This window comes from Homo sapiens, chromosome 11 (genome assembly GCF_000001405.40).
Source record: "Homo sapiens chromosome 11, GRCh38.p14 Primary Assembly".
Classification (NCBI taxonomy): Eukaryota; Metazoa; Chordata; class Mammalia; order Primates; family Hominidae; genus Homo; species Homo sapiens.
The window spans coordinates 15,268,733-15,286,021 of NC_000011.10; the positions used below are offsets into that span (position 1 = coordinate 15,268,733).

The 17,289-nt window shown below is 40.0% G+C and overlaps 1 protein-coding gene across 1 annotated transcript in view; it reads left to right on the top strand.

Moving 5' to 3' along the window:
• The window catches only part of INSC (INSC spindle orientation adaptor protein), a 158,261-nt gene extending 157,317 nt beyond the window's left edge, over positions 1 to 944 (top strand). Inside the window, exon 13 of the mRNA XM_017017698.2 lies at positions 827 to 944. Coding sequence (XP_016873187.1) covers positions 827 to 895 — 69 coding nt within the window. The 3' untranslated portion in view covers positions 896 to 944. The remainder of the gene's footprint in view (positions 1 to 826) is intronic.
• The last annotated feature ends 16,345 nt before the right edge of the window (positions 945 to 17,289 follow it).

The following is a 17,289-nucleotide window of genomic DNA, read 5'->3' on the forward strand; positions in this document are numbered from 1 at the left end:
CTGATTATTCAGAGTCTGTCTATGTATGTTTCAGTTCCTCAGTCACAGCATTTTTAGAACAGTACTGTAACCTCAACCTAATCCTTAGCAGTGGTCATAAAGGCTGAAGTTTCATAAGACTATATGGATACTATAGCAGTTTTTCTTGTAGCTTTAGTTTCTTGAAAAAATGCTGTTTGAAAGTAAGAATTACTCTAAATACCTACATTATTAACTTCAAATTGGTATAGAAAATGTAACATCTGTTATTGATACAGAGAAATACAAGGTATTCTGCAATTTTTACATTTTTGCGTTTATTTGAATCTGAATTCCTTATGATAAAATATCCAATTAACTTGCAGTCACTGCTTGTCAAACAATGTTACCCTACTCAGTATGTCAACAATTTTGTTTTCAAAGGTATATCTATTTCATTAAATAGTTATTATTTTATTAATATAGTAATACTTTTCCCCTTCCAGGTGCTCAAACATTTAGATACTGTTATCCTTTTGGAATGGGTACTTTGATTAAATCTTTGCCTATTATATATTAAAGTAGCCTATTAAATATTCAATTAGTCATGGTTATGAGACTTCATGGCTTCTTCTACATGTTCCAAGACTCTTTTTGAGATACTATTGCCTCTTTTTCCTAATCTGAAATTAAATGACCAACGTCTCCCAACCATCTTTAGGCACTTATGGTGTAATGCTTTCAACTTCGCCATTTTCCAGAGGACAGTTTTCCTTCCTTGGCAGTGATGTGGTACTTTTTTTTATCCATCCATGGCTGACTGGAATTCCTGATGGTTTTTTTTTTGTTTGTTTCTTTTTCTTCACAGACTTACATGGAAATTTCTTCAATGGCAGTGGTGAGGAGGAACATGTGTAAAGAAGATGATCTGAACTAGGTAAGTGAGATCATCTTTTGAATAGCATCCTACATGATCTTGTCTATCTCTGTTCAAGTCTTTATTGCTCAGCTCCATGGGAGTCAATATTTTTCCCATAAATCTAATATTTATGGTTTTACAGGAATAAAGAAGCAACTTTTTTACATTATTGATTAGGTTGGGTTCTAAGCCAGTATCAGACTTGATACCATGGCAAGTTCTACTACAGGGCAGTTCACTTTTCACAAAGGAAGCCTTTTTATTATTATTATTATCCTTTAAGTTTTAGGGTACATGTGCACAATGTGCAGGTTTGTTACGTATGTATACATGTGCCATGTTGGTGTACTGCACCCATTAACTGGTCATATAGCATTAGGTATATCTCCTAATGCTATCCCTCCCCCCACCCCCACCCCACAACAGTGCCTGGAGTGTGATGTTCCCCTTCCTGTGTCCATGTGTTCTCATTGTTCAATTCCCACCTATGAGTGAGAACATGCGGTGTTTGGTTTTTTGTCCTTGCGATAGTTTGCTGAGAACGATGATTTCCAGTTTCATCCATGTCCTTACAAAGGACATGAACTCATCATTTTTTATGGCTGCATAATATTCCATGGTGTATATGTGCCACATTTTCTTAATCCAATCTATCGTTGTTGGACATTTGGGTTGGTTCCAAGTCTTTGCTATTGTGAATAGTGCCGCAATAAACATACGTGTGCATATGTCTTTATAGCAGCATGATTTATAATCCTTTGGGTATATACCCAGTAATAGGATGGCTGGGTCAAATGGTATTTTTAGTTCTAGATCCCTGAGGAATCGCCACACTGACTTCCACAATGGTTGAACTAGTTTACCGTCCCACCAACAGTGTAAAAGTGTTCCTATTTCTCCACATCCTCTCCAGCACCTGTTGTTTCCTGACTTTTTAATGATTGCCATTCTAACTGGTGTGAGATGGTATCTCATTGTGGTTTTGATTTGCATTTCTCTGATGGCCAGTGATGATGAGCATTTTTTCATGTGTTTTTTGGCTGCATAAATGTCTTCTTTTGAGAAGTGTCTGTTCATATCCTTTGCCCACTTTTTGATGGGGTTGTTTGTTTTTTTCTTGTAAATTTGTTTGAGTTCATTGTAGATTCTGGATATTAGCCCTTTGTCAGATGAGTAGGTTGTGAAAATTTTCTCCCATTTTGTAGGTTGCCTGTTCACTCTGATGGTAGTTTCTTTTGCTGTGCAGAAGCTCTTTAGTTTAATTAGATCCCATTTGTCAATTTTGGCTTTTGTTGCCATTGCTTTTGGTGTTTTAGACATGAAGTCCTTGCCCATGCCTATGTCCCGAATGATATTGCCTAGGTTTTCTTCTAGGGTTTTTATGGTTTTAGGTCTAACATGTAAGTCTTTAATCCATCTTGAATTAATTTTTGTATAAGGTGTAAGGAAGGGATCCAGTTTCAGCTTTCTACATATGACTAGCCAGTTTTCCCAGCACCATTTATTAAATAGGGAATCCTTTCCCCATTGCTTGTTTTTCTCAGGTTTGTCAAAGATCAGATAGTTGTAGATATGCGACATTATTTCTGAGGGCTCTGTTGTGTTCCATTGATCTGTATCTCTGTTTTGGTACCAGTACCATGCTCTTTTGGTTACTGTAGCCTTGTAGTATAGTTTGAAGTCAGGTAGCATGATGCCTCCGGATTTGTTCTTTTGGCTTAGGATTGACTTGGCGATGTGGGCTCTTTTTTGATTCCATATGAACTTTAAAGTAGTTTTTTCCAATTCTGTGAAGAAAGTCATTGGTAGCTTGATGGGGATGGCATTGAATCTATAAATTACCTTGGGCAGTATGGCCATTTTCACGATATTGATTCTTCCAACCCATGAGCATGGAATGTTCTTCCATTTGTTCATATCCTCTTTTATTTCCTTGAGCAGTGGTTTGTAGATCTCCTTGAAGAGGTCCTTCACGTCCCTTGTAAGTTGGATTCCTAGGTATTTTATTCTCTTTGAAGCAATTGTGAATGAGAGTTCACTCATGATTTGGCTCTCTGTCTGTTATTGGTGTGTAAGAATGCTTGTGATTTTTGTACATTGATTTTGTATCCTGAGACTTTGCTGAAGTTGCTTATCAGCTTGAGGAGATTTTGTGCTGAGACAATGGGGTTTTCTAGATATACAATCATGTCATCTGCAAACAGGGACAATTTGACTTCCTCTTTTCCTAATTGAATGCCCTTTATTTCCTTCTCCTGCCTAATTGCCCTGGCCAGAACTTTGAACACTATGTTGAATAGGAGTGGTGAGAGAGGGCATCCCTGTCTTGTGCCAGTTTTCAAAGGGAATGCTTCCAGTTTTTGCCTATTCAGTATGATATTGGCTGTGGGTTTGTCATACATAGCTCTTATTATTTTGAGATACGTCCCATCAATACCTAATTTATTGAGAGTTTTTAGCATGAAGAGTTGTTGAATTTTGTCGAAGGCCTTTTCTGCATCTATTGAGATAATCATGTGGTTTTTGTCTTTGATTCTGTTTATATGGGAAGCTTTTAATTACAGGTAATTCCTGCACAGATTCACTCTTCTCTCTACACAACTCTTCCAAATAGGATTGGTCAGGCCAGGGCCACTGTGTTACAAAATGTGGTATAGTTAAATGGTGTCCCCTGGGGTTATCCCATGCACATCCTTGGGCCAGGTTATCCTCAAATTCCCTAGAGCCTGAATTTCTTGTCTGTAATTCTTCACCAAGGACTTACATATAAAGCTTTTCAAGAGATGAAATTCCTTTATAGTCAATGGCCTGGATGCTTTTTCATCTCCGGGAGGGTTTTGTCCTTTACTCCTACAGTCATCTTCATCTAAGATGGAGGCAATTCCCTCCTTCCAGTTACTCAGACCAAAAGCCTTGTATTAATACCTGCACCCAATTCTTCCTTTTAAAAATAACCCATAGCCAATGCAACAGCAAATCTGCTTATCTCCAACTTCCATTTAAACACATATTTTAGTTATTTTGGGCATGGCTTTTCTTTACTACCTTCATGAGAAAACTTTATAAATTGCAACAAAAACAGATGGTTTGAGACCTGGGTTGGAGCTAAGATTTAAAGAAAAAATGAGTCCAACAGCACTGAAACTATTTCAGTCCAGGGACAAACAAGGAAAGATCCCATTTATTTCAAGAAATAAGTGTGGTATTCAGAACAAAATCTTGGGAGCCTCAGATTCACAGACTGAGGGTAGATGTCCCATTTGGGTCACATCTCAGTCCCCAAGAGCCATGCCTGGGGACACTGTACTACTTGTTGGAGGCACCTCCTATTCAAAGATGTCTGTTTGATTTTTTAAAATCAATCTGACAATACTTGTCATTAAATTGGCCCAACCTTCTTACATTTATTGTAACCATTCATTTTCTATCACCTTTTAATGCTTTCTTTATTACCTCTTGCCGATTTTTGAATTGGACATTTTTTCCTTCTTTGTATTTTTTATCTTTACTTCTCTTTTTTTGGTGGTTACCTTGGAAATGTGTTATGCATGGTTAATTTCTCAAAGTCAAAAGGTAAGCTGTATATTTACCACCCTCCCAAACATTGCAAGGATCTTAGAATATTTTATCTTCAATCAGTCCTTACCAGAGAATATTATTGTTTTGGTATATTTATCCTTTTTTTAACTTATAAGACATTGTTATTTTGTTTAACATGGTCAAAATTTGTTTAGATTCACATATTCAATAATTTACTTGCTCGTCATTTTTACTTCTTCTTGAATATTCCATCTTAGAAAACTTTCTGTAGAGAAATGTTTGGTCAAATCCATCAGGAGACAAGTATAAGAATGTATGTATCAGCACCCCCTATAATGTCCAAACCTGGACAACCCACACATCAATTCAACAGTATACTGGATAAATATTTTGTTATATTCCTTCAGTGGAAATCTATAAAACCATGAAAATTAATGAACTGATGTTGTACAGGAAAAAATGAATAAATCTTAATAAAACAAGGCTGAGCAAAAGGAGTAAAGTCACAAAACGCATACAGTGTGATTTTATTTACATGAAATTTGAAAAGTGCAAAACTGAACAGTATGTTGTTTAAGGATACAAAAATGTGTAATGCAATTATAAAGAAAAATGAAGAAGTGATAAATACAAAATTCTGGAAGGTAGTTATGTCTGAAGGATAAGAAAAAGAACTGGCATCTGATAAGAGAATACAGAGCAAATGTAATAAAAATGTTCTCTCTCTTAAACTCGTTGATGAGTACAAGGATGTTGGCTCTGTGCTTAAATATTATGTCAAAGGCATTCCATCTATTTCCTCCCAGTTTCTACCTCCTTGAAGTTAGGCGAGGCCGTGGAATTTGTTCAAGCTAATAAGTTGTAGTCAGGATTGATGTGTGTGTGTGTGTGTGTGTGTGTGTGTATGTGTGTGTGTGTGTGTTACTTCTGGACCAAAGCATGAAAAAGTCAGTGAATAACCCTCCAGATAACTCCTTCTCTTCCATAGCCTCATGTTGAGATGGGGGAGCCACAGGATCATAGCAGTCTGAATTGCTGAGCCATTGCTTGGAGGTAACTCTGGAGAAGTGTCCAGGCCAGCAGCTGATTTTGCAGAGATGAGAAGTCCATGTTTATTGTGCCAAGTCACGGCCATTTTAGGGTTGTTTGTCACTGCAGTATAATAACCTGGACTAATACAAGTATTTTTACAAATACTCTGTTATATTTATTCAATATTTAACAAAATCAAGTTAGAAGACTCACACTAAAAATTTCAAAGAATACAAACCAATGAGGAAAGAGCACCACCCAGGACTTGGGTATAAGTAGGTCATGACTACTTCCAAATTTCTCTAGCTTGATTGGTAATGAAATTACCATGATGATCTATTGACCACCTGTTGGGTCAAGAGAAAAGTAAGTAGAGCAGTGGGCATTCATTAGAATCAGCTCTATGGTGCTCAGCCAAGGAATGGCCTTGCTGACTCTGGACTGTTTTGCATCGTTATTGAACTTGGCCACATGTGTAGGTCTGGGCTCCCCAGTGGGGTTGAACATTCCTTGAGGCTGGGATTATGATGTTTCTTGCACCTTCCTGTCATCTTCATCCTGGTAACAGGCTTGTGAGTGATCCTCAGGTACTTGTTGTGTTGAGCTCAGAAAGCCTTCTTTTCCTCTTCAGCTAAAGTTCTTGACAGCTGCCACATCCTCCCTGCCCTCTCCCACCTTGCCAAGCACCTTTGGCCTGGGGACCTGCCAAACAAGACCCAGGGGACATAGTTTTCTAAGAAAAGCTGGCTTCTCCAGCAGCGGGGATTTACCAGCAGCGGGATGTCATGCGAAACAGATTGCAGATGCCTCGCCTCCGTGGCCATCAGAATCAGAAATGCTTGCCTGCCAATCAGCATTACGGTGAAGAACTGTGACATGACAGTTGTCTGACTTGTGTTAATACGTTCTAATCTTGCAAACTAATTTTGTTCCCCCACTTGGCCATCCCTGCATTGTGTTTGGCCTGCCAGGGCTGGCACCATCCATCAATCTTAGTTAGTGGCCTGCTCCTTCTACCTTATAGCTGAGAGTGTCCCTGATCCCATCGAGACACCCATACCCCCCTAAACAAAGGCTTCTTTTCAATCAGGCTGTAAGAATGTGGTCATTTGGTTCAGAACAAAGATGCATGTTCTTGTCTGTGAGGGCTGACAAGATGACCATTGTCTGATCACGTTTTTTCAGGATGGCTTTTCTGGGGGGAGAATTCCCCATGGCACAAGGAGAACATTGTGGGCCTGGTTGTCATTTATGAGCCAGTGAAACATGTTAAATTTGTTGGAGTCAAACTCCCTGACCTCTCTTTGGGCCTAGTTTCCCCCTCTGGATGTAGAGCTCTGGGCTACATGATCACCAAGGTATTTTTTTGTCTCTGAAATTTGATCAATTCAGTCCATCATTCTATGGCCATTGATCCTCATGTCTGGCAATAGCATTTTGTTTCAAGTTCTCTTTAGGTTACTATTTTAATACTTTGGGGGGTGTATAGCGGTGTTACAAACCCCTTGAAAATCTGATGAAAGAGTTAAAACCTTTCTCCCTAGAAAAATGCACTGACACAAAACTTGTACTTAAAATTTCCTGAGGTTTGTAACTCCTAAAAGCTAATTTGTGGTCTCTAGAGGTTGAGAAGCCTAATTTTGATTTGTGTCCCGATTTTATTTCTTACTCTGGCATTTACCTGATTTTTAAACTTGCAAGCCATATTAAGTGATTTTTTTTTCATTTTTTTCAACATTTTGTTTTGAAAAATTTCAAAACTACAGAAAAATAGAAAGTTCTGATGGATATTCACATACCCTGTAACTATTAATAGATTCACCAACTGTTACATTTGCCATCTTCTCCTTGTTCTTTTTCTCCTCCTCCTTCTTTTCCCCCCTTCATCCCTCTCTTATCCACCCCCCCACCCCTTATGCCGGAGGCTGGGTCTTTGGAGATGTATGAAACCCAGCCTCTTCCCTTTCCTCTTCACTAATCTTGTGGGATGATAAGACAAAGACGCTGTTAATTGCGTAGAAAGCAAACTTCACCAGTGCCACATTAGAGCCATAATAAGATACTGTGGAGTGAGAGAAGAGAAACATTTCTACTAGAGGCAAGGGTCTGGGGACAGATTGGTAAAAGGAATCACGAAAGGATAGGGTAGCAGTTACCCTATCCTTGAAGAATGGGCACTTTTGGTGTAGGTTATAGTGTGAGCAAAGGCATAGAACTGGCTTGGAGCAGAGTGAATATGAGCAATGACAGATACAGTTCTCCTTTGGACTTGTTTGTATTATTTTTCTATCTGACTGGCCTGATCCTAAATGAATCCATCCCCTACCAAAGCCTTTTAGAAAATATCCCTGAGAGGGCTAGTACTGTGGGTCATTTCTGGAGCCCTTCATCCCTTTATCAATGAAAGAGAAGAGACAGCTTTTTCTGCTCACATGACTCTTGGATAAGGAGCAGGTGATGATTACTATACAACCTGGCCTCCTCTCCCCATCTTATCTCTTCCCCTTCCTGGGATCAGGTAGGGGTTGACCCAATCTTCTCAGCCAGAACTGCCAGCATTGAGTGTTCACCAATTTTGAAATCCATTGAAAAGCAAGGACCACCTGTGATTTTCTGATGAGCCACAAGAGGGGGAAGTGTGAACACAAATGAAAAAGGGGGGAAAAAGAACCCACACAAAAACAAAACCCAGCTGGGAAATGAACAGCTTTTCCGAGGCCCTCATTTCTGATGCAGGCTAGCAGTTTCAATCTGTTACGTTTCTCTGTCTATGTCTCTGTCGCCTCTCTCTGTCACTATTCTTTCTCTGCCCCTCTCTCACTTTGTCTCTTACTTTCCCGCTGGAATTTCTCTGGGAAAAAAATGCAAATTTGTTTTTCTGCCTCTAGGTTCAAAAATCAGTTGCACAATTTCTAGATGGAGGGAGTTAAGGATCTAAGAGGCTTTAAGTTTAATTTGAATATCAGTCAATGGGGAGTTTTTGCAGTTAAGCTCCTCACTCCTCACAAAAACAAAACAGAAAAGCCTAAGTGAAATCAGTGCCGTTTGGCCACATTAATATTAACAGTTAACAATTGTGTAGCCCTCTCCTTGTGCCAGGTGCTGTTCTAAGTGCTTTGCACGCATGAACTCTGTTAATCCTCCTAGCTACCCTCTGGGGTTGGTACTATTATTGTCAGCGTTTTACAGATGAAGAATCCAGGGTACAGAGATGTCAAAGGGCTTGGTCAATATCACACAGCTAGTGTCAGAGCTGGGATTTGAAGAGGGCAGTCTGGGTCGAGACTTTCAGCTCTTAATCTCTCTATAGTAGCTAGATCTTAAAATTAATGAGTGTATAGTGTTCAAAACAAAGGAGGTGATGACCCTAATACAGCCTCCCACAGTCAAATCAGATCTGGTTGTGTTCAACTCATAGGATCATATATTTAAAGAGATAGTTGACATTTGGAGCTGCCCGTATGCAGGTGATGAGGGTAATAGAAATAAGGTCATATTGCAACCATTTGGTTCAAGTGAGGGGGTTTAGTCTGGCAAAAACAAAACAAAAGAACCCGAGAGTGGAGGCCAGAAAAATTGTTCTCAAATATTTGCAGAGACTCTGAGACCTCTCTCTTTCTCTGGAGGTTCAGCAACTTTCTTTCACAGATAGTCCCCTGCCTATGGACACTTCCTGAGCAGGGGGATGCTCTGTGGCTTATTTGGGCCAAGGTTTCCTGATCAGTCCCAAGACTGGCAGGAATTCCATTATCTGGGAAGAAGACTGACCCTCAATCATTTGAGCTTCCTTTGCCTCCCACGGGGTTGTTCAACCAGGGCTTACTTTCCCAGACTGTGGGGTTAGGTCTGCATGTATCAGTGATAAAATGCAATTTGACATGTCCTTATGAGTCACTTCAAACATAATAGGAGTATCTTTTCCTTAAAAATAATGCATATTTAATATAGAAAATTTAGAAATTATAGTAAAGTACAGAAAAAAATATCTTACACTATCCCATCACCCTGAGGAAGCCAGTGGTAACATTTTATTATACTTTCTCCTGGGCCTTTTTTCCTGTGCATATATCCTCGTCCACAATCTTCTTAATGGTTCTGAAAGGAATCCTTTCCGGAGAGCCATAAAAAAAAAACTCAGAGAAATGTCACAGTCCATTATGAAGCATGAGTCAGAGCTTCTTCAGCCTCCAGAGAATGTCTTCGGTGAAAATATTTCAGAAAACATTCTGAAAAAAAGTAGTGATTTTATTTCTTCTAGGGCCTCATCTAAAGAGTTGGGATTACCGAGGCAGAGAACAGAGTGTGGAGTATTTGGACTTCATAATAGCACGAGGTGGAAAGGGGAAGAGAAGGCCAGGTCTGGCATCTTTTGTGGGCCAGGCAGTGAACTGGACGCTTTACTCACTTATTGATTTATTCAAGAAATATCTGAGTCCCTGTAATGATAGCCACTGGGGATATAGTGGTGAATACAAAGGTTGTGCTGTGGATCCTCTTCTTAGAGAGAAACTAGTGTTGAGGGGAAAGCTGAGAGTAACGAGTGGAGGGAACAACCAAAGAATATAATATGGAACTGAACACAGACAAGAGTGGGATAGTTGGGAAAAGCTTGCCTTAAGGAAGGGGGATTGGATCTGAGGTCTAAAGAATAAAATGGAGTTGGGTGAGGGGAGATGGAAAAGGGAGAACATTCCAACAAGAAGGTAGAGTATATGCAAGTGTTTAGCTGGAGGATGGGTGGCACATTCCTGGAGAAGAAATGAGACCAGATAGACTGCAGAGAGGGAGCAGAGGAGTGAGGCAATCAAATTTAGAGACTCTAAAAAAGAATGAGCTATTGTACATGCAGCAACACGGATGAATATCACAGACTTAAACTTGAGTAAAAGAAGCCAGACACAATAGCGTGCACAGTGTATAATTCATTTATACTAAGTTCAAGAACAGGTAAAACTAATCTGTGGTGACAGAGTCAGGACCGTGGTTATCTCTGAGGGGGGCTGGTATTCACTGGGATGGGGCACAAAGGAACCTTATGAGGTGCTAGAAAATGTCTATTTCCAGGTGACGGTGACACCAGTGTATATGTATGTAAAATTTCATCACGTTGTATGCTTAAGATTAGTGCACCTGACATACTTTACTAAATGTACAATCTAACTCCATGAAAAAATACAATAGACACATTTTAAATGTATAATAAACCACTGAAAGTAAAGTCCACGGGCTGATGCTGCTCTGTGAGCAGTTTGTTACCAGTGGGCAAGCTTCCTTCAGAATGCAAATCAATGGATGACTTTTTTTCATGGAGAAAGTCTCGCTGGCACAGAATGCTAGCAGTGTGCTTGGTGATGTAGCACCAGTGGAGGTGAGGGATGATGCAGCTTGGATTGCAATGAAGAAGTGGGGGGATGAGAGAAGTTAATAAAGAGTCCTGTGACGTTTGGTTTGGTTTTGTTTCTGTGTGAGCTTTTTACAAGTTAGGAAATTGAGACTAGAATGGTGACTGCTGTGGTCTGAATGTTTGCATGACCCTCTTCAAATTCATATGTTGAAGTCCTGACCTCTAAAGTGATGGTATTAAGAGGTGGGGACTTTGGGAGATGACTAGATCAGGAGCTCTGCCTTCATGAACGGGATTAGTGTCCTTTTCAAAGGGGTCCCAGAGATCTGTCTTTTGCCTTCTGCCAAGTGAGGAGGCAGCAAGAAAACACCATTTATAAAATGGGGCAGATTCCAGGTATGGAATCTGCCTGTGCCTTGATCTTGGGCTTCTCAGCCTCCAGAATTGTAAGAAATAAATCTTCATTGTTTAGACCCAGTCAATGGATATTTGTTATAGCAGCCTGAGTGGCCTAAGCCAATGACATAAGCATCCAAGGTCATGTCGTTTGTAAGGGGTAGGCTATTCCAATTCACCATTTCTTTGCAAAGAAATAAAGAAATAATTGGAACACCCTTATATTTTTCTATAGAAAAGGGCTGCTATAAGCAACTTTCCAAAGAGAATCCTAACTTTTTTTGCTTCCAAATGCAGAGCTCAATCATCCTCTAATATCCAGATAACAACCTCCATTAATGAGCCTTTACTCTGGGACCAGTGCCCTGGGTATTTTTCACATCTTGTCTCACTGGAGCCTCTACATAACCCCCTGAGGGAGCTATTATTAACATTCCCATTACCATTTGAGAACATTAAACATAAAGAGGTGAAATGCTTTTATTCCTGGGGTCACAAAGGGTTTGAATTCATCAGGATTTGAACTTGGGTCTACATTTTATTCATTGCACTATGCCCAGTCAGGCTTCCTGGCCTGTATCCTTTTCAGGAGGAAGCAGTGGCTGAGTTTGAGCCATTTAGTGATTTCTCTGTGGTTGAATACACATTGAAGGGACCTGCTCTGGTTTCATAGGGGTTTCAGAAGGAAGACTCATATACATTGCTTTTGATGTTCACCAGAGCAACTCCATTCTAGGCCTTAGGAAACTGTTTCTCCCAGCCACCTGGCCTATATCTTACAACAACTAACATAGCAACAGTCTCTTGAGTCAGTTGTTTAGGGCAGCATAAAGGGCTTGGTTGGGGGCTACCCTACCCAGGGACAAGGAGGAGATGCAGAGAGTGTGGCTGAATATTATGCACCACCAAGGAGTTAGTTCCACTAAGACCCATAGGATTTTAAAGTAGAACCAGATCTGGGTCAGTCCTAGACCCCAGCAAGGAATACCTGCAAAGTCATCGTAGTTACCTAGTCTCTTTGTGGCTGCTTGGACCAATTGGTCTGAACACCAACATGGACCTAGAAACAGAATGAGATTTTGAGTCTGTTATCCTGGATTTTGTCTCCATCTACCCACTCTGGTTAGGCGGACATCGAGATATAACTTTTTAAAGCCTCAGCTTCCTCACTTCTAACATGGAATAACAATATCTTAACAGTGTTGATATTGGGATTCAATGAAATCATATATGTGTAAATGCCTACCATAGAGACTGCTTCATACCAGCTACTCAATACATTATTTTTCTTTTCTTTGTTTTTCATGAAACTGGCTTTCTTTATATTTTTTCTCACTGTCATCCAATTCCCTTTAGGATTCAGTTGTTCTCAGTGTAGTTTATGTGTGTGTGTGTGTGTGTGTGTGTGTGTGTGTGTGTGTGTATGTGTGTGTTCTTGTTCCAGAGGATGGATCCATCTGGGGTGGGAGGTGATCCCTGAGGAGTGAGAGGAAAACAGTGTGGGTTGTTGCAACGTGACTCTCTCTCCATTCCCATTTGCTTCTTCTCCCTTGAGTCAGGGCAGTGAACTTGAATAAGCTTTGATGGGTTTCCTAAAGGAGGTTTGGAGAAGAGAGGGTCATAGGGTGAGAAGAAAGCAAAGGGAGTGCCTCTCTAGGTCTGAAACCCCATGCCTGCACACTCCAGTTCACATGGTGCAGGCAGTGACTCCCACCCCATCCACTCCTAGTGCATCTCTCCTCCACCAGCACCTCTCAACCCTGATTTTCTGGCATTGGGGAGGGAAGAGATGCTGTGGTTGAACTGGGGGAATAAATGGTTTTCTTGTTTCTGAGAGGCAAAAGGCAGCCAAGGGGTCCCCTAAACATGCCTGAAGCCACTGCCAGTGGCCTCTGAAACCATGCATACCAGGGTGCCTTCTCTGGTTCCCAGCCACCTTATGGGTTATAGGCCTCCTATATACCAGTGCCAAGGCAATGTGTCTGATGCTTTGGCTTAGTTTCATTTTAGAGAAGAGCTGGAACCATAACCTGTGGAAGGAGCCTCTGCAGGCTGCTTGACCCAGGGGAGAGGAAAACTCCCCATTTTCTTTCATGATGGCAAAGGATTGATCTAGTGATTTTTTGGGCCTCTTGGTGTCCACAGGTGAAACAAAGAGGTGATTTTGCAATGCTGTTTCCAGTGAGTAAATCCTTTTCTTGTGTTTTCATTTTAAGAAGGCTTAAAAAGGCAGCAGGAAGAGAAGCCTTGCACATTTAGGATACAGACACCTTGACACAAGGTGATGAGCTGTACTAACATTTGTTTCTGTGGAAAGGTTTGCAACCAACCAAAGAACAAGACAAATAACCATATGGCTTTTTAAGAGCAAATGATGAGAAAATTCCTTCATTTTGCAAGGCAGGAATGAGTTTGTGCAAGTTGGACAGGGTGGCAGGAGGTGAGGAATGGAGTCAGGGAAGGACTTCTAGCAGCTAGGGAGTGTATTTCTCATCCAATGGGGCTGCATGACTTGGAGGCAGGGTAGTGAGATGTGAGTGGATGATGGATAGAAGGTGCTGCTCACTGTCCCTGAGTTAGGGGGAGAAACTGGATCAGGAGGAGGCTGCTTTTCTGCCCTGTTTTCCTTCCCCCACTGGATATGGAAGAAAGTGGATGCAGTGTTAGTGAGTCTTCCTTGGAGAACAATCTGAAAAATCTACAGATTAGGTGACTAGGAGGGACTTGATGGGCCCTAAATTCCCACTTTTGTGGTGGGCTTCAGTTAGTGTTCCTGCTCTGCTCTACAGCTAGGATATCACATTAGTAGAGGGAACCAACATTCCATGGGATTTTTAACTCTAAGATCCTGATATAGTCTTTGAAATTCCCACAGTGTAGTGAAAGAAACAGAAAATGATCAAAATCGAAGAACCTGCTTGCTATGATAGAAGCATAAACAAAAAAACTCTGGGGTCCAGAAGAGAGAGCAGCTATGTATTGAAGGATAGAAAAACTTTACAGAGGAGGTGATGTTTGATATGGGTTTTAAAGGATGAATAGGAGTTTGTCAGTCAAAGAGCATGAGAAAAGACAGCCTAGTAGAGAGAAAGACACATAAAAAGGCACAGAGATAGGAGAAGGCATGACATGCTGGGCAATAGGGAGTGGTGAAGTGAGGGTGAGGGATGGTGGGATGGAGTGACAGGAGGCGCACCCAGAAAAGTAGTCTGTCTCCAGGGTGAAGAACTTTGGATGTCATGCCAGGAAGCTTGAACTTATATCTGTGAGGAAGGGAGAATTAGCAGAGTTTTGACTTTTTAAACTTTAATTTATTTATGACATGAACTATATATATATATATTTATTTTTGAAGAATTGGGTAATACAGATAAGTAAACAAAAATAATCACTTTTAACTGTACCACCTTGAAGATAACTACTGGTAACAATTTGATCTATATGTTTTCAAAATTCTATATCTATTTATCTATCATCTATCACCTCTCAATCTATTCCTCTTTCACAAATAAGAACATTATACACACAAAAACATACACACTCACACATACATAAACACTGTATGTATATAAGCCCCCACACACATACACTCATCTCCCCATATCTGCAGGGGATTTGTTCCAGGGCCCCCAAAAGAATACTAAAATCTGAGGATGCTCAAGTCTCTTATGTAAAATGGCATAGTATTTGCATATAACCTATATACACCCTCCTGTATACTTGAAATCATCTCTAGATTACTTTTAATATCTAATAAAATATAAATGCTATGTAAATAGTTGTTGTATGGTTTTCTTTCTTTTTTTTTTTTTACTATTGTATTGTTATTTTTATTTTTTTTTCCTCAAATAGTTTCAGTATCTGGTTGGTGGAACCTGCTAATACAGAGGCCTGACTATATATCTCATTAATTATTTGGATTTTTTAAAATTTAACATTTGTTCATAGCCAATGAACATATTCCCTGGCCTCATCCTTTTTATGGCTACATGGTACTTTAATGCATGGGTCCACCTCTGGAGTTCATTTAACCAGACTTCTGTTATTGGAAATTTGGGTGATTTTCAATTTTCTCTGTTGCAAATAATGCTGTAACAAAAATCTTTGCAAGTATGTACTTGTGTAATTTTCTGATTCTTTCCTTTGGATAAATCTATAGAAATATTATTGACAACTTTTTGGAACTTTTAGATGTTTAAATATCCAGGATGGGTTTTAAGCAGGGTAGCAACTATAAGATTTTTATGTAGAAAGCTCACTCTGGCTGCTGGTTGTCTAGAGAGGTCAGGAAGAGAGCTGCTTCAAGGGTTGATGAGGACTTGAGAAAGAGAAATGAAAGATAAATTTAGGAGATAAAATCAACAGAAATGTTTGTAATTTGATATGTGGGATAGATTTGGATAGTGTAAATGTAAATTTTTAACAGTAAAAAAATGTTTTAAGGCAGCGATAGTCTTTACAAAATGGAGGAAGAGAAAGTTAGTGTCCAACAGTGTTATGGGCTTGTGTTCTCCCACCATGCCCAAATAGGATGGGCCCTAATCTAATATGGCTGATGTCCTTGTAAGAAGAGGAAATTTGGACACCGTTGGACACAGAAAGAAGACTGTTGAAGACACAGGGAGAAGAGCATCATCTACAAGCCAAGGAGAGGCCTCAGAAGAAATCAACCCTGCTGACATCTTGATCGCCCTCTAGAATTGTGAGAAAATAAATTTCTGTTGTTAAACCCCCACTTGTCTGTGATGCTTGTTATGGCAACCCTAACAAACTAATACAACTAGAAAACAGCAGGAGATAAGTTTTTGTTGTTGTTGTTGTTGTTGTTGTTGTTGTTGTCGTTGTTGTTGAGATGGAGTCTCCCTCTGTTGCCCAGGCTGGAGTGCAGTGGCGGGATCTCAGCTCACTGCAAGCTCTGCCACCATTCTCCTGCCTCAGCCTCCCAGGTAGCTGAGACTACAGGCACATGCTAGCACACTTGGCTAATTTTTATTGTTGTTGTTGTATTTTTAGTAGAGACGGGGGTCTCACCATGTTGGCCAGGATGGCCTCGATCTCCTGACCTCATGATCCACCCACCTCAGCCTCCCAAAGTGCTGGGATTACAGGCGTGAGCCACCCTGCCCAGCCTTTAAAGGGTTTTTTGAATTCTCCTTCTCCATTTTCTTCTTAGCCACAAATGGGTTTGTAATATTTCGGTAGCAAAGGAGCTCAGTGGTATAATCAAACTCTGTTTACTAAAGATATAAAAATAGTACAACTAATCAAATCAAAATGGTGTTATCAAAGGAATTCCCATCAATTTTCTAACCATTTACTGGATAACTCTCATTTGATTAAAATTTTTTTTCTTTTTTTATGAGCAATTGATCTTTGTAAATTTTCTGCGTATTCCCAGGGTTAAGTGTTTTAGCATATAATTATCCTACATTGTGTTTGTGAACTTCCAACAAGCTTCCCTCCATTCTTTGTGGACAGTTTCAGCCTTGAGTTTGTTTACCTATGATTATTAACATATTTAAATGCAACTGCATAATTTTGATGCTTAATTTCAAGTTGATACGTTGAGATGTTTGAAGAGGAAATTAATGTAGCTGATAAAATAACTTCAATAATTTTCAGGCATTTTAAAAGAGTATGTAAGGGTACAGCAAGAGTGTTATAGAATTTTGTTCATGGAAATTACTGGAAACTTATTTGTCTCTGGCATGAGCATTGCTCCTAAAATATTCTCTAAAATGCTACCAGCTTGGAAAACCTGCCAATTCAAGATCAAATTGACACATGACATTTTCCTTGTGTGGGCTACTTTGAGGGAGTCTTGAGCTGCTTGGTCATCTGGAATACTGAAAGGCAGTCCATAGGCCTTTGCCATTTCAGAAGAATCTGATTCAATTATCTCTCAAGGAAAAGTAATCTTTATCTAAAGCCGATGGGACAAGTACCTGGGTGATCTATGTTTCTTTTGGAAAACTCCCATGTTCTTAGTTTAGATTAGCTAGAATCTGGAAACTGAAGAAGCATCCTCATTGAACTTCTCTCTACTCTCTCTGGGTTATGGAATGTCTATACAGGCCTGAGGCTAGGATAGTCCATGACA